General features: G+C 41.6%; 1 protein-coding gene across 4 annotated transcripts in view, besides 2 other annotated features; it reads right to left on the bottom strand.

Annotated features, from left to right (window-relative positions):
• NPEPPS (aminopeptidase puromycin sensitive) overlaps window positions 1-21,661 on the bottom strand; it is a 100,344-nt gene that overhangs the window by 52,014 nt on the left and 26,669 nt on the right. For all 4 annotated transcript variants that reach the window (NM_001330257.2, XM_017025373.1, NM_001411130.1 and 1 more), the window contains one exon: window positions 1,769-1,846. In NM_001330257.2, coding sequence (NP_001317186.1) covers window positions 1,769-1,846 — 78 coding nt within the window. The remainder of the gene's footprint in view (window positions 1-1,768; window positions 1,847-21,661) is intronic.
• Window positions 3,997-4,496: an enhancer, noted in NCBI's record as "H3K27ac hESC enhancer chr17:45644133-45644632 (GRCh37/hg19 assembly coordinates)". NCBI's record gives its function as "activates a minimal SCP1, AML or CMV promoter by ChIP-STARR-seq in primed H9 embryonic stem cells {active_cell/tissue: H9 hESC(primed)}" and the evidence as "EXISTENCE:reporter gene assay evidence [ECO:0000049][PMID:30033119]".
• Window positions 4,497-4,998: an enhancer, noted in NCBI's record as "H3K27ac hESC enhancer chr17:45643631-45644132 (GRCh37/hg19 assembly coordinates)". NCBI's record gives its function as "activates a minimal SCP1, AML or CMV promoter by ChIP-STARR-seq in primed H9 embryonic stem cells {active_cell/tissue: H9 hESC(primed)}" and the evidence as "EXISTENCE:reporter gene assay evidence [ECO:0000049][PMID:30033119]".

Below are 21,661 nucleotides of genomic sequence, written 5' to 3'. Positions count from 1 at the left end.
TTATGTCAACACCCAGACATAACTATCATTTTACTTGTGCCATTTAGAGACATGATTCACCACCTTAAATATGTAATTTTATATTCTGCTTTTCAAGTTTACATTATAATAAGCACTTTACAGGGTGAAGAATTCACAAACCTCACTTTTAATTGCTAAGTATATTTCACTATATAGATATATATCATTCCTGGCTTGATCATTTCCTTAGTGTTGAACAAATATATTAATTATAATTTTTTACTACCATAAGTAATATCTCAGACACTTCTGGGCATAAAGTATTTTCTGTATTTATGACTTTTCCTTGGGATATATTCCTATTAGCAGAATTGCTGGGTCAAAGGACATGAACATATTTAGGCTCTTGATATACTGCCAGAATGCTTTTCAAAAAAATTACATGGATTTATACTTCCCCCAGCGATATCAAGGCAGCCATATCATTGGGAATTTTTAAAATCAGCTCACATGAGAAGCAAAAATTTCTCATTACTAGGAGGCTCAATATCTTTTCACATGTTTATTAGTCATTTACATTTTCTTCCTTTTGAATTATCTGTTCCTTTTCATTTGTTCATTCATCAAAGTCTTAGTACTTCACCAATTGATTTGTATATAATTTCTTCCACATACACTAAGCTCAGAAAGTCTATTTCTTTGTGCTTTTATACCTAACAATAGTAACATATCAACCTATCTTTCTTTCTGTGCCCTCAATAACACAATACCTATTTGATCTCTGGTTGTATATCAAAATCATCTGTGACCATTCACTTCAGGGATTTGGATTCAATTAATAGAAGATGCAGCTAGGTAAAGGTATTTTGTTTGTTTGTTTTAGACAGAGTCCCACTCTATCACCCAGGCTGGAGTGCAGTGGCACGATCTCGGTTCACTGCAACCTCCACTTCCTGGCTTCTGGCGATTTTCTTGCCTCAGCCTTCTGAGTAGCTGGGATTATAGGGATGAGCCACCACACTGGGTAATTTTTGTATTTTTTGGTAGAGATGGGGTTTTGCCATGTTCGCCATGCTGGTCCCTAACTCCTGGCTTCAAGTGATCAGCCCGCCTTGGCCTCCCAAAGCGCTAGGATTGCAGGTGTGAGCCACCATGCCCGGCCTAGGTAAAGGTATTTTTAAAAAGGTAAAACTGGAAAACAATACATTACATTCTAGGATAGAATGATCTTTAGTTTTTGTCCTGTTTTTCTTGGCTTGTTCGTTTAAAGAGAATATAGAGTGACAGGAGGTGGAAACCCTGCTTTTCGTAGCCCAACTTCCGCAGAAGGAAATGCTGGTGGCCCAAAAGTTGCAACAAACCTCTTTAAAAAGCTCTTAATACGGCTGGGCGCGGTGGCTCCTGCCTGTAATCCTACCACTTTGGGAGGCCAGGGTGGGCAGATCGCTTGAGATCAGGAGTTCAAGACCAGCCTGGCCAACATGGCGAAACCTTGTCTCTACTAAAAATACAAAAAAATTAGCCGGTGTGGTGGTAGGCACCTGTAATCCCAGCTACTCGGGAGGCCGACGCAGGAGAATCGCTTGAACCTGGAAGGTGGAGGTTGTAGTGAGCCAAGATCATGCCACTACTCTCCAGCCTGGGCAATAGAGTAAGACTCCGTCTCAAAGGAAAAAAAAAAAAAAAGCTCTTAATACTTAATCTGCTAATAACAATGAGGGGAAAAATGGCATACAATAAATTTCTCTGGAGGAAGTCAGATGTCACTATATTCATCACGAGATTTTACAAAAGCTATGTCTCTTACCTGTTTGCAGAGTACTAGGGAAAGACAAGGTGACTTTTTCATCTTCATTCTGATAGTTAAATCCTGTAGCATGTATTTCTGGAATGAGAAAAAAAATTACTTTACAATTCTGACTGGACTGACAAGACGAAATCAAGACTGCAACATTTTCAAGAGCAAAATCTCTACAAAAGCAAAATATTCTTAATTTGGTGAATTAAGTTCCTATTAGCAAGAGTTTCATTTCAAATGAGCCTATTCTAGGCTACATTATCTACATTAAATATGCTCCTTAAAAATAATTACAAATTCTTTAAAATTCACAAAACGTCAGTGATGTACAGGAAAGAAGGCTTTATAAATGTGATGCTTTTCTATCAGATTCCTGTGTGACTATGATATTGTGATATTGCAGTCTTACTCATGAACATTTGAGACTTGGCAACTTGCCAAGATTTCAGTGTTAAAGATACATCAAGGAAAGGTCTGTTCCCCCAAAGGTAAGTAGCAATTCAAACTAAGATATAAATCATACCCACTTCTGGTAAAATTCTTTGTTGTGGCCAGGCGTGGTGGCTCACGCCTGTAATCCCAGCACTTTGGGAGGCCGAGGCAGGCGGGTCACCTGGGGTCAGGAGTTCAAGACCAGCCTGACCAACACGGAGAAACCCCGTCTCTACTAAAAATACAAAACTAGCCGGCTGTGGTGGTGCATGCCTGTAATCTCAGCTACTTGGGAGGCTAAGGCAGGAGAATCGCTTGAACCCGGGAGGCGGAGGTTGCAGTGAGCCAAGATCACATCATTGCACTCCAGCCTAAACAACAACAGAGAAACTCTGTCTCAAAAAAAAAAAAATTATTTGTTGTTACATGAAAACAGGTATGCAAATTGAATTAAGGCTTTGACTTACTCTCTGCCAGGAATGAGAAGAGACTGCTTATTTGACTGATACTTTAGGATGCTTGGACATGTTAGGGAAATAACCAAAGAGACCAACTTCCAACTATGTCCTATCCCCATTCCAAATGAAAAGCTGGCCAATCAGGCCGGACACGGTGGCTCATACCTATAATCCCAGCATTTTGGGAGGCCGAGGCGTGTGGATCACCTGAGGTCAAGAGTTCGAGAACAGCCTGGCCAACATGGCGAAACCCCATTTTTACTAAAAATACAAAACTTAGCCAGGCATGGTGGCAAACGCCTCTAATCCCAGCTATGCGGGAGACTGAGGCATGATAATTTAGAATTGCTTGAACTCAGGAGGCGGAGGTTGCAGTGAGCCGAGATTGTGCCACTGTACTCCAGCCTGGGCGACAGAGCGAGACTCTGTCTCAAAAAAAGAAAAAAAAAAAAAAAAGTATAAGGTAGGATGTAGAGAAACTGGAGCATATATTGCTAATGGGAATGTAAATGGTGCAGCCACTTTTGGAAAACAGTTTGGCAATTCCTCAAAAGGTTAAATACAGAGGTATCATGTGATACAGCAATCCCATTCCTAAGTATATATCCAAGAGAAATGAAAACACATGTCCACATAATGTTTGTATACAAATGTTCATAGTAGCATTATTTATAATAATCCCAAAATGAAAACAACTCAAATGTCCATCAACTGATGGAATAGATAAAATGTGGTATATCCATACAACTGAATGTTATTTGACAATAAAAAGAAATGAAATAGCTGACACATGCTACAACGTAAATAACCTTGAAAACATTATACTAAGAAACCAGCCACATATTTGTCCATAACAGGGCAATCTATGGAGGCTGAAAGTAGATTCATAGTTGCCTGGGGCTAGGTGATAGAGGGGAAATAGGCAGGGTACTTTCTTTCTGGAGTTCAGAAAGTGTTCTAAAATTGATTGTGATGATGGCTGTACAACTCTGTAAATAGACTAAAAACCGCTGAATTGTATGCTTTAAATATTAATAGATGACATGTATGGTATGTGAATTATACATCAATAAAGCTATTATTGAGGCGGGGAGAAAGGAAAGTACTACAGAAAGACAAGGGAGGAGAGGTGGGCATGAGTACCTTTATCAGTCACAGGATGCTGTGGGTAACGATTCAGATTACATAACATTTTACAGGCAAGATGCCCATAATTCTTCCTTTCTTTTATGAATCACCCAAATATAGGATTTCAAATGTTTCTACTGTCACTATGGTTCACACATTTTTATAAAGCCAAAATCTCTACAAAACCAATTAAGAAACTGTAATTTCAGATTTTAAAAGAACTTTAATAAATCCTCTAATCAAATCTTCCTCATTTTACAGATGAAGAAAATGAGACATATAAAGTTAATGGTTTGTCAAATGTTAATTAGCTAGACTACAACTCAGTTCCCTCACTTCTATTGCCAAAATTATTTCTACAATCATAAGCTAGCTCCTAAATTTGTTTGGTTTTGTTTTGTTTTTTGAGACAGGATCTCACTTTGTTGCCCAGGCTGGAGTACAGTGGCGCTATCTCAACTCACTGCTACCTTTCCCATCAGGTTCGGGAGATTCTCCCACCTCAGCCTCCGGGATAGCTGGGGACTACAGGCATGAGGCGCCACTAGGCCCATCTAATCTTTTGTATTTTTAGTAGAGACAGGGGTTTCCCCATGTTGTCCAGCCTGGTCTCAAACTCCTGGATTCAGGCAATCTACCCACCTCAGCCTCCCGAAGTGCTGGGATTACAGGGCTGAGCCACCATGCCTGGCCTAGCTCCTAAATTTGAATAGAAATCAAATTTGACAAGAATCACTTCAATGCTTAAGAATGTTCCTTTCTGGGCTGGGCGCAGTGGCTCACGCCTGTAATCCCAGCACTTTGGGAGGCCGAGGTGGGTGGATCATGCGTGGTGGTGCATGCCTGTTATCTCAGCTACTTGGGAGGCTGAGGCAGGAGAATCACTTGAACCTGGGAGCGGAGGTTGCAGTGAGCCGAGATGCGCCACTGCACTACAGCCTGGAGACAGAGTGAGACTCTGTATCAAAAAAAAAAAAAAACAAAAAACCTACAGCTGTTGAATAAAAAGGTAAACAACCCAATTTAAAAATGGCAAGACTTAAACTTCACAAAGGAAAATTTATAAATGGCAAAAAAAAAAAGCACATAAAAAAAGTGTTCAGCATCATTAGTCATTAAGGAAAGGCAAATTAAAATCACAATGACATATCACTACACATCCATTAGACTAGGCTATTAAATGACTGACAATAAAAATGTTGCCCAGGGCCAGGCATGGTGGCTCTTGCCTGGAATTCCAGCACTTTGGGAGGCCAAGGCAGGAGGATCACTTGAACCCAGGAGTTCAAAATCAACCTGGGCAACACAGGAAAAATAAAAAAAAATTAGTCATACGTGGTGACACAAACCTGTGGTCCCAGCTACTCCAAAGGCTGAGGCAAGAGCATTGCTGAAGCCTAGGAGGTTGAAGCTGGAGTGAGCCATGATCATGCCACTGCACTCCCATCTAGGTGACAGAGTGAGACCCTGTCTCGAAAAAGAAGAAAAAAATGTGCAGGGTGTAGCACAATAACTAGAAGTCATGCTGGTGGTGCCTCTTTTACTATTCAGACTGTAAGCATTTTCCAACCCCAGGGTGTCTGCATCTGATTGCAAAGTCTTTCTCCAGATATCTAAACACTTTATGTCATTCAGGCCTCTGCTCAAATCACTTTTTTTTTTTTTTGAGACAGGGTCTCACTCTGTTGCCCAACCTGGAGTACAGTGCTGCCATCTTGGCTCACTGCAACCTTGACCTCTCAGGTTCAAGTGTTCCTCCCACCTCAGCCTCCCAAATAGCTGGGACTACAGGCGCCCACCACCACACCCGACTAATTTTTGTATTTTTTATAGACATGGGGTTTCACCATGTTGCCCAGGCTGGCCTCAAACTCCCGAGCTCAAGCGATCCTCCTGCCTCAGCCTCCCAAAGTGCAGGGATTACAGGCATGAACCACCACATGAAGCCTCGAATCACCTTTTTTTTTTTTTTTTTTTTTTGAGATGGAGTCTTGCTCTGTCGCCCAGGCTGGCATGCAGTGGCATGATCTCAACTCACTGCAACCTCCGCCTCCCGGGTTCAAGCACTTCTGCCTCAGCCTCCCGAGTAGCTGGGACTACAGGCACGCACCACCACGCCTGGCTAATTTTTGTATTTTTAGTAGAGATAGAGTTTCAGCACGTTGGCCAGGATGGTCTCAGTCTCTTGACCTCATGATCCACCAGCCTCGGCCTCCCAAAGTGTTGGGATTACAGGTGTAAGCCACCACGCCCAGCCTCAAATCACTTCTTTAAAGATCTGTTCTATCAACTTGAAGAACAATCCTCATTCTATACCCTCTTGTGATTTTACAGCACTTATCACTACTTTACATCACATATTTGCTTGTTGCCTATCTTCTCAAATATCAGAAATGTTGATGCTTGATTTTGTTCACAGCTCTACTTCCAATGCTAGCAGTTTCTGGCACATAGTGTGTGTTCAGTAAGTATCTGTAGAATGAATGAATCACTTCAAAAGCAACAGACTAAGTAATTATGTCATGGAGGTCATTAATGCTACTCATATGAAATATATTAATGAAAAATCACATTTACTAATGTTATGTGAATAGAGACATGGCTAGGGATAAAATTTCCAGTCACAACATAATATACTGATTCAAATAAGGATCTATCTCAAACCTCTTAGAAGATAATATTTGCTCTGGAACTGTTAGATTGTTCAAAGGGTAGAAACCCATAAATACTGAAGATGCATATGAGAAGTCTGAGGAGGCTTCACTGGAGAAAAAAGTATTTCTAAATTAATGTTTACATTAATACTAATATATAATTAGTATATTTATATATTATAGTAATATATAATACTGATATGATAAATGAATAATTCATTCACTAATACAGTTTGCAATATATTCATAATTGGAAATGTATATATATGTAAATTAAGCATTGTACATAGACACTTCACTATATATCATGTATCAATACAACTTAAACTTGATAGAAAACTTTTAAAAATGGAGTATGAGAGAATCTTATAAGGTATATACGATTATTCAATTCTCTAAGCCTCCGTTTCCACACCTATAAAATTAAAATCATATCATTACCTAATTCTTTCTTCTTAAAATTGAGATAAGGGTCTCACTATGTTGTCCAGGCTGGTCTCAAACTCCTGGGCTCAAGCACTGGCAATCCTCCCACCTCAGCCTCCTGAGTAGCTGAGATTATAGGAGTATACCATTGTGCCTGGCACTTGCTTCTTAATTAAAGATTGAGGGCCAGGCACAGTGTCTCACACCTGTAATCCCAACACTTTGGGAGACCGAGGTGGGAGGGTCACTTGAGGTCAGGAGTTTGAGTCCAGCCTGGCCAACATGGTAAAACTAAACATACAAAAATTAGCAGGGCATGGTGGCGTGCGCCTGTAATCCCAACTACTTGGGAGGCTGAGGCAGGAGAATCGCTTGAACCTGGGAGGTAGAGGCTGCAGTGAGCTGAGATCACACCACTGCACTCAGTCTGGGCAACAGAGTGAGACTCCATCTCAAAGAAAAAAAAAATTATATAATATACTCTTATATAAAACACACAGCACAGTTCCTAGTTATTGTTAAGAAACACTTTTCAGGGCCGGGAACAGTGGCTCACGCCTGTAATACCAGCACTTTTGGAGGCCAAGGAGGGCGGATCACGAGGTCAAGAGATCGAGACCATCCTGGCCAACATGGTGAAACCCCGTCTCTACTAAAAATACAAAAAATTAGCTGGGTGTGGTGGCACGTGCCTATAGTCCCAGCTACTCAGGAGGCTGAGGCAGGAAAATGGCGTGAACTCGGGAGGCGGAGCTTGCAGCGAGCCGAGATCGTGCCACTGCACTCCAGCCTGGGCAACAGAGCAAGACTCCATCTAAAAAAAAAAAGAAACACTTTTCTAGATCATAACACACCTTACAGTTCTTTATTGATCCAACTGCAATTGGTCCATTATATACATATATATAACAGCTTTTGCTGAAACTACTTATTAGGCCTTTTAAATATAATAAGCATTTTAAAATCTATAAACATACATATTTGGGTATAAGCATCTATGTGTAAGTGTGTTAGTCATCTATTAAATAGAAGTAAAATTTGATTATAAACATAGCATGTATAAAACCATGACCAGGCTGGGCATGGTGGCTCACGCCTGTAATCCCAGGACTTTGGGAGGTCAAGATGGGCAGATCACCTGAGGTCAGGAGTCTGAGACCAACCTGTCCAACATGGTGAAACTCCATTACTACTAAAAATACAAAAATTAGCCAGGCGTGGTGGTGCACGCCTGTAATCCCAGCTACTCAGGAGGCTGAGGCAGGAGAATCGCTTGAAACGGGGAGGTGGAGGTTGCAGTGAATTGAGATCACGCCACTGCACTCCAGCCTGGCTGAGAGAGCGAGACTCCATCTCAAAAAAAAAACAAAACAAACAAACAACAAAAAAACCATGGCATTATAAAATGACCATAAGCAAAATCAAAAGAGAAGTATATATTGGGGAAAAAATGCTCCAACTCATGATGGAAGGTTAATTTCACTCAAATATAAAGACCACGTTTTAAAAAATCAATAACAAGAATAACACTGCAATTAAAAATGGACAAATATGAATAAATTACAGAAAAAGGAAACACAAATGGTTTTTAAAATAATGAAGAGATTCTTTTTTTTTTTTACAATTAACTAAACTTTTTTTTAAATTAACTAAAGTTGGTATTTCACTAGGACGATTTAGCAGATGAAATGGGTTTTAAGTTTAGAACACCATTTCTTCTTCCTTATTACATTTCCCTTTTTAATGTTAGCCCTCTACAAACACACACATATACACACACACACACACACACACACACTCTGCATCAAAAAAGCCTTCCTACATTAATACTTGAGCATGATAACCTTACAATGAAAGGTAAATCATTAGTTGAATCATGAAACATTTTCTTCCCCTTGTGGAGAAAAATCAAATTGCTTTTCCTCTGCTCTTACACCACAATCATCAACACAGTAGACTTCTGTGACCAAATGTGTGGGGATTTCTCCCCACCAACAAGAAGCAATCAGTTCTGCAGACGATACCACCAGCTGAGCACCTTCTAATCCAATTCAATTATCATGCTATCTACCTGGAGATAGCATTAGATCCCACAGGCTGAGAGAGGGCTCAGTCTCACAAGACTGCCCCCACTTCAGACACTAGTTGTAAGGCTAGGCCTCATCCAGAACTTCTGGCCAACCAGCTTCAAGTCAGTGTTCCCATGACCCCCTTCTTAGGTTTGATTAATTTGCTAAAGCTGTGCCCAGAACTCAGGAAAACACGTGTACTGGTTTATTATAAAGAATAGTACAAAGAATGCAGATGAAGAGGTGCACAGAACAAGGCATGTGGGAAGGGGTGCAGAGCTCTCATACCCTCCCTGGGTGCACCACCCTCCAGGACCCTCCACGTGTTCAGCTATCTGGAAGCTCTCTGTACCTGGTCCAGGATTTCACTGGACAGTCACGACTGAAGCATGGACAACCGTGTAGAAATATGATTGGACAAAAGTAGGACCTAATGCTAACAGACTGAGTGGTGAAACCTAGCAAGGTCTCTCTGTTCAGAGTCTTCTTGGCCTCTCTGTGCAACTTCTTTCCTCCCAAGTACAGGGCAGGATGCCTTCTGAAATGGGGGTCTTATGACCTCCAATCAGACAAGGTAGGTCAGATAATTTCTTTGCTGTCAGCTCCAAGACAGAATGTTGGGGGATGATTAGAGTATATTTTTAGTTTCTATGGCCTGCTTGGGGAGAAAAAGGAGCAGGTAAAAGCAAGGCAAGAAAAGGTCAGAGAGAGATTCTGTTTTCTGAAGCCTGCTTCTGAGGTTTAAAGTGCCCCAACATTATTACAAAAGACCATCTTTCACTTTTATTGATCTGAAGCTGTACTGAAGCCACTTCAAAAACCAAGAATAAAAGGCCAAATATTTCAATAAAATATATGTGTATTGTTTTAGTCACTTAGGAAATAACAGGGACTATGGGTGTTCTATGACAGAAACTGTGGACGAAAACCAACATATATATCGTAATATCATAGCACCCCCCCAATCTTTTTTTTTTTTTTTTTTTTTTTGAGACAGGGTCTCACTGCATTGCCTAGGCTTGTCTTGAACTCCTGGGCTCAAGCAATCCTCGTGCCTCGGCCTCCCAAAATGCTGGGATTGCAGGCATGAGCCACTGTGCCAGGCCCCCTTTATGTCTATACATAATAAAACTTAATCACATAAAAGGAGGTATAGGGAAAATGAGAAGTACAAGATGGTATTCTGAGGCCACATTAAAAAAAGATTGAAATTTTTAAAAATAGCCGAAATCATTATTGCTTATACCATCTATACAAGCATCTAGTGGATTCTGCCTAGGCATTACATTGAGATACAGAAACAAAATCTTCTAAAATTTCAATATCAGAAGTGCCAAGTCAACTGTACTTCAAATTTTCCTTTACAAATTATCTATTTGAAACTCAGAATGTATTTTCCTCCAAGCCACTGCTATACTTAAACAAGTAATCTAAACCACATAATTCTATATAGCCCACATATACCAGTGTAGCTCAGTACTAGATCAAACACATTGTGAGGTTTTGTTTTGTTTTTTTATTCAGATAGCAACTTCCCTATCATATTGTTTATGTGGTTTTAGAAAGCAGTTCAGGTGCAAAAAAATAAAGTTCACAGTTCAAAGAAGGCCTACAGTGACCACCTGCTACTTGGAACATACTTTGTTTCTCCACAAAGCTGAAAATAATGTTGCAATGGGAAAGAAAACACATCATTCTGGAGGATATCCAAGGGGGATTCAAGTGAAAAATGGAACCAGGAACTTACTTTGCAAAGCTTCAAGGTGACCTCCTTCTCACCCTAGGGCATAAAAGCCAATCAGATATATGCATAGTTACAGTTCAAGCAGTACCTATACTGACAGGTCCCATATTTTCAAATGGATTTCATATTTATATAACATAGTGATGGTCCTATCTTATTAGGCTATCTAAAAAGTCTAAAAAGAATGAGCATGTGCCAAATATAAATCTGGCTCAACAGAACCAAAAAATTCCTTCTAGGGTGCCCCTGCTCTTAATAAATGACTGTGAACTATTTCGTTAAAATCACTCAGGATTCTGGACCAGGATTTCCATTGATTAAGTGGTCTTACAGGGTTACTTAATTTGTCTAGGTCTCAGTTTATCTTTTTTTTTTTAAAGGACTTTATTTTGGGTAATAGATGAGTATATAATTCAAACTAATTATCTCTCTCCTACTTGACACCCACAAAACTAAAAAAGCTGGAAGGAAGGGAAAACCTCTCCTTAAAAGAATCATAGAACAAGATAAGGTGATCAAGATGAAGAAGAGGATGAAATTCCATAAGGAGGAAGCTTTGCATTCTAGGCCACTTTTGCTCTGGGGTCATTTGCTGATCTAGCAGAGAAGTAGCAGATTTAGAAGCTGAGGCTATAGGCCCCAGGGACAAAAGTGGGAATCCAGGGACCATCAACACTGGGGGCTTTGTGGCTGGGTGGGCACTGTGTCTGTAATCCCAGCATTTTGGGAGGCGAGGTGGAAGGACTGCTTAAGCCCAGGAGTTCAAGTAACACAGTCTATCTAGGTAGCACAGTGAGACTCTATCTCTATTAGAAGAGAAAAGACAAGACAAGACAAGACAAGACAAGAGGCTTGAGTAAATGACCCCCTCCTTTGGGCTTGAAACCAAAAAAGTGATATCCTACCAGGAAAGATGAACAAGAAGAAAAGCAGTCCACAAGTGGAATGTGATTAAACTTCTGAACATCTGAAGCCCAGACATTGGAAAAAGATGAACCTTAAGTATTAGTAACCAACGGGGAACAAAACAAAAGCTCCCCTAGATACTAGCAAACTATTCATATACCTGCTTACTATGTTCAAAAATATAAAATCCCAATCCTGAAAAATTTGGCAAGTAACGCGAAGTTACTTTAAAAAAACAAACAAACAAAAAAACTCCAAAAAAAACCCAAAACCAAGCAAAACAAAGAAAACAAGCAAATTTGGAAAAATTAATTCTAGAACAAAAATATGTAATAAGAAAAAACAGGCCAGGCACAGTGTCTCATGCCTGTAATCCCAACACTTTGGGAGGCTGAGGTGAGAGAATCCCTTGAAGCCAGGAGTTCGAGACCAGCCTAGGCAACAAAGCAAGACCCCATCTCTACTAAAAAAAATTAGCCAGGCACCACGGTAGCGTATATCTGTAGTTCCAGCTACTCAGGAGGCTGAGGTGGGAAGATCACTTGAGTCCAGGAGTTTGAGGTTGCAGTAAGCTGCGATCCTGTCACTGCACTCTGGCCTGGGTGACAGAGCAAGACCCTATCTTTTTTTTTTTTTTTTCCTCTTTTTTGAGATGGAGTCTCGCTCTGTTGTCCAGGCTGGAATGCAATGGCGCAATCTCGGTTCACTGCAACCTCCGTCCGCCTCCCGGGTTCAAGCAATTCTCCTGCCTCAGCCTCTCAGGTAGGGGGGACTACAGGCATGCGCCACCATGCCCGGCTAATTTTTTGTATTTTTAGTAGAGACAGGGTTTCACCATGTTAACCAGGATGGTCTCGATCTCCTGACCTTGTGATCCACCCACCTCGGCCTCCCAAAGTGCTGGGATTACAAGCGTCAGCCACCACACCCAGCCGCAAGACCCTATCTTAACAAAAAAAGAGGCCGGGCATGGTGGCTCACGCCTATAATCCCAGCACTTCAGGCCAAAGCAGGCAGATCACCTGAGGACAGGAGTTCAAGACCAGCCTGGCCAACATGGTGAAACCCCATCTCTACAAAAACACAAAAATTAGCCAGGCGTGGTAGCAGGCGCATGTAATCCCAGCTACTTGGGAGGCTGAAACAGGAGAATCGCTTGAACCCAGGAGGCAAAGATTGCAGTGAGCCGAGATCTAGCCACTGCACTCCAGCATGGGTGACAGAGCGAGACTCCGTCTCAAAAAAAAAAGTGGGGGATGGGCCAGGTGTGGTGGCTCAGGCCTGTAATCCCACCACTTTGGAGGCTGAGGCACGTGGATCACTTGAGGTCAGGAGCTCAAGACCAGCCTGGCCAACATGGTGAAACCCCATCTCTACTAAAAATAGAAAAAATTAGCCAGGAATGGTGGCACAAGCCTGTAATCCCAGCTATTTGGGAGGCTGAGGCAGGAAAACTGCTTGAACCTGGGAGGCGGAGGTTGCAGTGAGCCGAGATCACACCACTACACCCCAGCCTCGGCAGCAGAGCGAGACTCCATCTCTAAATAAATAAATAAAAATTAATTAATTAATACAAATAAAAACCCACAAAAATGAGCCACGTGTGGTGGCGTACACCTGAAGTCCCAGCTACTCGGGAGGCTGAGGCACAAGCATTGCTTGAAGCCGGGAGGTGGAGGTAGCAGTAAGTTGAGATAGAGCCACTGTACCCCAGCCTGGGTGACAGAGACTGTACAAAAAAAAAAAAAAACATGGAATCAAATCATAATTGCCTGGGGAAGGAGCAAGGAAAAGGAGAGAAAAGGATTATAAAGGGGCATGAGGAAATGTTCTAGGGTGATGAATATGTTCATTACCTGGTTACATTCATGAGAAAACTTATCAAATTACATATTTTAATATGTACCCTTTATAGTATGTCAACATTACAGGTACTCTCACAAAGCTATCAACAAAAATAGGAAAGAAGCAGCAGCAAGCAACAACAGCCATAACTACTGCCTGGAGAATTTCCCCCAAAACAAACAAACCAAAAAAAGTGTGGGCTGCAGCTAAAAGCAGTACATTTTTAGGATTAAAATTTATATTTAAATGAATATACTAGAAAGAAGGACTAAAAAGTAATAAGCCAAACATCCATCTCAAGACTTCTGTTTGTTTTTTGTTTTTTTTTTAAGGGTAGTCAAGTGAAGCAGTGGGAGTGAAGAAGGAATAAAGAAATCTGTAACTGGCTATGATTGATGAGTTATAAACACCACTGCACTGGGACCAGCCTAAAGAAGTTTTTTTAAATCTGCAAAGTAGACCGGGCATGGTAGCGGTGGCTCACACCTGTAATCCCAGCACTTTGGGAGGCCAAGGCGAACCGATCACTTGAGGTCAGGAGTTTGAGACCAGCCTGACCAACATGGTAAAACTCCGCCTCTACTAAAAATACAAAAATTAGCTGGGTGTGGTGGCACATGCCTTTAATCCTAGCTATCAGGAGGCTGAGGCATAAGAATCACTTGAAACCAGAAGGCAGGGATTGCAGTGAGCCAAGATCACGTCACTGCACTCCAGCCTGGGTGACAGAGTGAGACTCCGTCTCAAAAATAAAAAAAAAACCTTGCAAAGTAAACCCAAAGGAAGCAGAAGTTAATAAGGAAATAATAGTCAACTGAGGTCTACAAAGCAATGGTTAGTTCTTTGAGAAAAAAAGCAAGAAAACTGAAAAAGATCTGGGATCAAGAAAAAAGTAAAACAGGCTGGGTGCAGTGGCTCATGCCTGTAATCCCGGCACTTTGGGAGACCACGGCAGGTGGATCACAAGGTCAGGAGTTGGAGACCAGCCTGGCCAACGTGGGGAAACCCCATCTCTACTAAAAATACAAAAATTAGCCGGGCGTGGTGGCCTACATCTGTAGTCCCAGCTACTTGGGAGGCAGAGGCAAGAGAATTGCTTGAGCCGCCCCGTCCCGGAGGGAGGCGGGGGGCAGCCCCCACCCGGCCAGCCGCCCCGTCCGGGAGGTGGGGGGCACCTCTGCCCGGCCGCCCCTTCTGGGAAGTGAGGAGCCCCTCTGCCCGGCCGCCACCCCGTCTGGGAGGTGTACCCAACAGCTCATTGAGAGCGGGCCATGATGACGATGGCGGTTTTGTCGAATGGAAAAGGGGGAAATGTGGGGAAAAGATAGAGAAATCAGATTGTTGCTGTGTCTGTGTAGAAAGAAGTAGACATAGGAGACTCCATTTTGTTCTGTACTAAGAAAAAGTCTTCTGCCTTGGGATGCTGTTGATCTATGACCTTACCCCCAACCCGGTGCTCTCTGAAACATGTGCTGTGTCCACTCAGGGTTAAATGGATCAAGGGTGGTGCAAGATGTGCTTTGTTAAACAGATGCTTGAAGGTAGCATGCTCGTTAAGAGTCATCACCACTCCCTAATCTCAAGTACCCAGGGACACAAACACTGCAAAAAAAAAAGGCCGCAGGGTCCTCTGCCTAGGAAAACCAGAGACCTTTGTTCACTTGTTTATCTGCTGACCTTCCCTCCTCTATTGTCCTATGACCCTGCCAAATCCCCCTCTGCAAGAAACACCCAAGAATGATGAATTAAAAAAAAAAAAAAAAAAAAAGAGAATTGCTTGAACCCGGGAGGCAGAGGTTGTAGTGAGCCAAGGTCACGCCAGCACAAGACTCTATTTCAAAAAAAAAAAAAAAAAAAAAAGTAAAACAGAAGGCACAAATAAATAAAATGAGCCCTGACTACTACCTAACTTCCCTTCTAATTCTATTAACTTGAAACTATAGCAGAGCTTCCCTAACTGTGGCAGATCCAAACATGGATTACAGGTTTATCAAGATAATAATTCCCTTGGCCCTTGGACCAGCCTGGTAGGCCTAGAGCAATGAAAGATCTCTGATACCCTCCAGTTGTGAGCCTCCTCTTCCTTATGTACCAGGAAAACATCAGTTTCTACTAATGCCTTGAAAAAAAGTAAGGAAGCATTGATTTGGAGAACAACTAACTCTTCCAGCTTCACACTTAAGAACAGCATACATGGCCGGGCGCGGTGGCTTGTGCCTGTAATCCCAGCACTGCGGGAGGCTGAGGCAGGCAGATCACCTGTGGTCGGAGGTTCGAGACCAGCCTGACCAACATGGATAAACTCCATCTCTACTAAAAATACAAAATTAGCCGGGTGTGGTGGTGCATGCCTGTAATCCCAGCTACTCAGGAGGCTGAGGCAGGAGAATCACTTGAACCCGGGAGGCTGAGGTTACGGCGAGCCAAAATCATGCCATTGCACTCCAGCCTGGGCAATAAGAGCGAAACTCCATCTCAAAAAAAAAAAAAAAAAGAACAGCATACACTACAATGTTACTAACATTATGCAATCAGTGTTTTCTCTACATTTAATGCAAAACTACATAATTTACAGCAGTTTTTTATGCTCTCCATTTTCTTAATATTTAAAATACCGTAAAGAATCTTTACAATTAGTAAGTATCTTGATGGTAGTCCTTAAAGGGAAGTAAAATACAAGTTAAAGCTGGTAACAAAATAATCTCAAATACGAAATAATTTTGTTACCCATAAAGTTAATAGGATAGAGCACATGAAGAAATGCAGACCTGACAAGTCCCCCCTTATCTGCAGTTTCACTTTCCACAGTTTCAACTGCCTAGAGTCAACTACGGTCTGAAAATATTAAATGGAAAATTCCAGAAACAAAGAATTCGTAAGTTTTAAACTGTACTGTTCTGAATAGTGTGATGAAATCTTGTACCCTCCCATTCCATTCTGCCCAGAACATAAATCATCCCTTTCTCCGACCTATCCATGCTGTATATATATGCCACCCAGCCCATTAGGCACCTAGTAGCCATCTCAGTTATCAGATTGACTGTCAATGTATCACAAGGCTTGTGTTTAAGTAACCTTTATTGTACTTAATAATGGCCTCAAAGCACAAGAGTAGTGATGCTAGCAGTTTGGAAATGTCAAAGAAGAAGGGTGAGTATAATACAATAAGATACTATAAGAGAGGCTGGGCACAGTGGCTCATGCCTGTAATCCTGGCACTTTGGGAGGCTGAGGCAGGAGGATCGCTTGAAGCCAGGAGTTCAAGACCAACTTCAGCAATAAAGCCAGACCTGACTCACAAAAAATTTTTACAAATTTGCTGGGTGTTGGTGCACACCTATAGTCCTAGCTAACTGGGAGGCTGAAGCAGGAGGATCACTTGAGCCCAGCAGTTTGAGGCTGCAGTGAGATATGATGGCACCACTGCACTCCAACCTGGGCAACAGAGACTCTGCCTCTAAAAATAAATAAATGAAATAATTTTTTTTAAAAAGAAGATATTGGCTGGGCGCGGTGGCTCATGCCTGTAATCCCAACACTTTACGAGGCTGAGGGGGGAAGATCACCTGAGGTCAGGAGTTTGAGACCAGCCTGACCAACATGGAGAAACCCTGTCCCTACTAAAAATACAAAATTAGCCAGGCGTGGTGGCGCATGCCTGTAATCCCAGCTACTTGGGAGGCTGAGGCAGGAGACTTGCTTAAACCCAGGAGGCAGCGGTTGCAGTGAGCCGAGATCACACCATCGCACTCCAGCCTGGGCAACAAGAGTGAAACTCCATCTCAAAAAAAAAAAAAGATACTGTGGCTCACACCTGTAATCCCAGCAATTTGGGAGGCCGAGGCGGGCAGATCACGAGGTCAGAAGATGGAGACCATCCTGGCTAACACGATGAAACCCCGTCTCTACTAAAAACACAAAAAATTAGCCAGGTGTGGTGGCATGCGCCTGTAGTCCCAGCTACTCAGGAGGCTAGGGCAGGAGAATCGCTTGAACCTGGGAGGCAGAGGTTGCAGTGAGCTGAGATTGCACCATTGCACTCCAGCCTGGGCGACAGAGCAACGTCTCAAAAAAAAAAAAAAGAGAGAGAGACGCACACAACATTCATGTAACTTTTATTACAGTATATTGTTATAATGGTTCTATTTTTTATTAGCTTTTGTTAATTTCTTACTATTTCAAATGTAAAAATTAAACTTTATCATAGTACATATGTATAGGGAAAAACATAGCATATATAAGTTTTGCTACTATCTGTGGTTTCAGGCATACCATTGGGGGTCTTAGAACACATCTGCCATAGATAAGGAGGAACTACTGTAACTACCATATGACAGACTTACTCCATTTATCTAGATTTTCTTCGTTTCATTCAATGTATATTTATTAAATCCCTACTATATGTCAGATACCAGGGAAAACCACAAATGAAAAAGAATGAATCATAATTACTGGATCTTTTTTTTTTTTTTGAGTAGAAGTCTCTTGTCCCCCAGGCTGGAGTGCAATGGCGTGATCTTGGCTCACTGCAACCTCTGCCTCCCAGGTTCAAGCAATTCTCCCACCTCAGCCTCCCGAGTAGCTAGGATTACAGGCGCCTACCACCACACCCAGCTAATTTTTGTACTTTTTTTTTTAGTAGAGACGAGGTTTCACCATGTTGGCCAGGCTGGTCTTGAACTCCTGACCTTAGGTGAGCCGCCCGCCTCGGCCTCCCAAAGTGCTGGGATTACAGCCATGAGCTACAGTGCCCAGCCCCTCAAGGATCTTAAGATTCCATTGAAAAGTAGTACAGACATGACACAAACAAATAATTGCAATATGGTGCGGTTATATTAATGACAGGCAATAGAGTGGCAAGTACATGGACCCTAGATCCAAACCGCCTGGGTTTGAATCCTGGCTCTAACATTTATCAGTTTTATTACCTAAAGTAGATACCCTCTCTGTGCCTACGGTTGTTCTCTATATGAACATGTAATGCACTTAGTGCCTGGTATAGAGTAAACACTAAACTCACCATTATTTTTATAATTATCACTATTAAACATTACATTATGAAAAATGTTTCACTTGGTTAGGCACCTAACCTGAACTGGAGGTTAAAAAGAAGATAAAACGTTCCCTCTATAGTCAGCAATAAGCCAACTAAATTCCTAAAACAGCAGTCACTAAAGCAATCCATATCACCTTAAGGCTATTTAAATAATGTTTTAAAACTTACCAAATATAACTAAGACAAAATTTAAAACTATTCTACACTCATATACTTTGTATATAGCCATATGGAAACCTACACAGGTTCTTTATCAGACAGCCCCTCAATATTACTCAAAACCAACAAATGTAAAAGTGAAAGAATGCAAATACACTGCAAACTTCATGTTCTTTATCTCTGATTTGCACTAAAAAGGAATAAAGGGGCTGGCTAACTATCACTTGCTCCTTCTAATGCTGACATTTCTTTATTTGGCTCCAGTTTGAACTAATGATACTTAAGGGTTGTTTATTTGAGAATGGATCTATCCTGCATAGAAACCAGAATATATTTCACAGATAAGCATAGAAATCCAAACAAGGGCCAAGCACAGTGGCTCATATCTGTAATCCCAGCACTTTGGGAAGCTGAGGTAGGACTGCTTGAGTCTTGGAGTCTGAGACCAGCCTGGGGAACATTGCAAAACCCCATCTCTACAAAAATTAAAAAATTAGCCAGGTGTGGTGGCACATGCCTGCCATCCCAGCTCTCCGGGAGGCTGTGGTGGGAGAGTAACTTGAGCCCAGGAGGCTGCAGTAAGCCACGACTGTGCCACTGCATTCCAGCCTGGATGACAGAGAAAGACCTGTCTCAAAAAAAAAAGAAAAAAAAAAAAAAGAAAGAAATCCCAACAAACAAGATCAGAAATTAGAAACTTAAGACTTTTGTCTTAATGTTAACACTATATAAACTCTTCCTCTTTGAAAAATATGCCCTCTGTTTGTCACTATTGTCTTGGCAATTCGTTATACTTTCTCACAAGCAAAGAAACCTATTTCAGACTTGCGTTCACACTTATCAAACTATCACTTAAACAGAGTATTTAAGGTCTGGTGCAGTGGTTCACACCTGTAATCCCAGCACTTTGGGAGGCCAAGGTGGGTGTCAACAGTTTGAGAGCAGCCTGGCCAAAATGGGGAAACCCCATCTCTACAAAAATTTAAAAATTAGCCAGGTTTGGTGGCACACACCTGTAATCCCAGCGACTTGGGAGGCTGAGGCACAAGAATCGCTTCAACCCAGGAGACGGAGGCTGTAGTGAGCCGAGATAGTGCCACTGCACTCCAGCCTGGGCAATAAGAGTGAGACTCTATCTCAAATAATAATAATAATATTTAATAAAAACTCTTTGAATGACACAAATTACCACTTAGGCAAAAAGAACCTTGGTATTTACAGGGGTAAAAAGTTCAAATAAATAATAAACTTCATTTATTATTATATATAAGCCAAGAGAATTTATTATATGCAAGGGAATCACTGTTCAGACAATGAGCTGAGGGGCCAGAATTTGTGAGACAGAAGGGGTCCTTTTCACACAATATTTACTTGAAGTTTCACAATAATCAAAGGTATCTGCTTTTAGCCCAGTTATTCATGTATACACATCAACAAGATTTAAATTCACCAAAATGTTAAATGTTTATTAAGCAGCCACCATATAATGTAGGTTTTGGAACTAGTATTTAAATGGAAGAGTATATCTTCAGAGTAAAGTTCCATTGAGAAATAGAAAAGTCTGTAAAACCAGGTCTTGTCTTATAACAAGAAACTGATACTGACTTCTGTAACAAAGCTAAATAGTCTCTTGATGTGTAGTTGGCACAATTCCAGAAATCTAAACTACTAGCAAATTTGCTTATATCTGGTATAACTGGGCCGGGCGTGGTGGCTCATGCCTGGTAATCCCAGCACTTTGGGAGGCCGAGGTAGGTGGATCACCTGAGGTCTCGAGTTCGAGACCAGGCTGGCCAACATGGTGAAACCCTGTCTCTACTAAAAATACAAAAATTAGCTGGGTGTGGTGGTGCACACCTGTGATCCCAGCTACTCGGGAGGCTGAGGCAGGAGAATTGCTTGAACCTGGGAGGCAGAGGTTGCAGTGAGCAAGATCATGCCATCGCACTGCAGCCTGGGCAACAAGAGTGAAACTGTCTCAAAAAAAAAAAAAAATTATATATATATATATACATATATATATATCTGGTATAACTGTTACTATATCTAAAGAAAGGGATGAGAAACAAACCTTTAATTTCTACTTGAAATGATCTTTCATTATTGCAAAGAGAAAAGGGTACATAACTAATATCCAAACAGCGTTAATAAAAGCCTATTAAGGATTATTTTAAAACAAGTTCTTTAAAACAAAAAAAAAAAAAGTAAGTTCTACTAGTTGCAGTGAGCCGACATTGCGCCACTGTACTCCAGCCTGGGCGATACAGCAAGACTCCATCTCAAAAAAAAAAAAAAAACACACACATGCCCATAGGTCTTTCAAGGATGACTGCACATATCACAAAAAAATGGCCTTTTTCTTCAAATAAAAACTTACACAAAGAAGTAACAATTGGCTAGGCACGGTGGCTCACACCTTTAATCCCAGCACTTCGGGAGGCCAAGGCGGGCAGATCACAAGGTCAGGAGATAGAGACCATCCTGGCTAATACGGTAAAACCTCGTCTCTACTAAAAATACAAAAATTAGCTGGGCGTGGCAGCGTGCGCCTATAGCCCCAGATGCTGGGGAGGCTGAGGCAGGAGAATGGCGTGAACCCGGGAGGCAGAGCTTGCAGTGAGCCGAGACTGCGCCACTGCACTCCAGCCTGGGTGACAGAGCGAGACTCCATCTCAAAAAGAAAAAAAAAAAAAATTAAAAGAAGCAACAATTTCATGCCTTGAGAGTAATTTTCTGATTTTACTTTTACCTTCTTTTTTTAAATTATATATATATATACACATACATGTGGAAGGCCAAATCTATCCCTGTTCCCAATCCAAACTTTTTTTTTTTTTTTTTTTTTTGAGACAGAGTCTTGCTCTGTCGCCCAGGCTGGAGTGCAGTGGCACAATCTCCACTCACTGCAACTTCCGCCTCCTGGGTTCAGGCGATTCTCCTGCCTTCAGCCTCCCAAGTAGCTGGAATTACAGGTGCCTGCCACCACGCCCAGCTAATTTTTGTGTTTTTAGTAGAGATGGTGTTT

Source organism: Homo sapiens, chromosome 17 (genome assembly GCF_000001405.40).
Source record: "Homo sapiens chromosome 17, GRCh38.p14 Primary Assembly".
NCBI lineage: Eukaryota > Metazoa > Chordata > Mammalia > Primates > Hominidae > Homo > Homo sapiens.
This window is presented reverse-complemented; position numbering and strand designations above follow the sequence as displayed.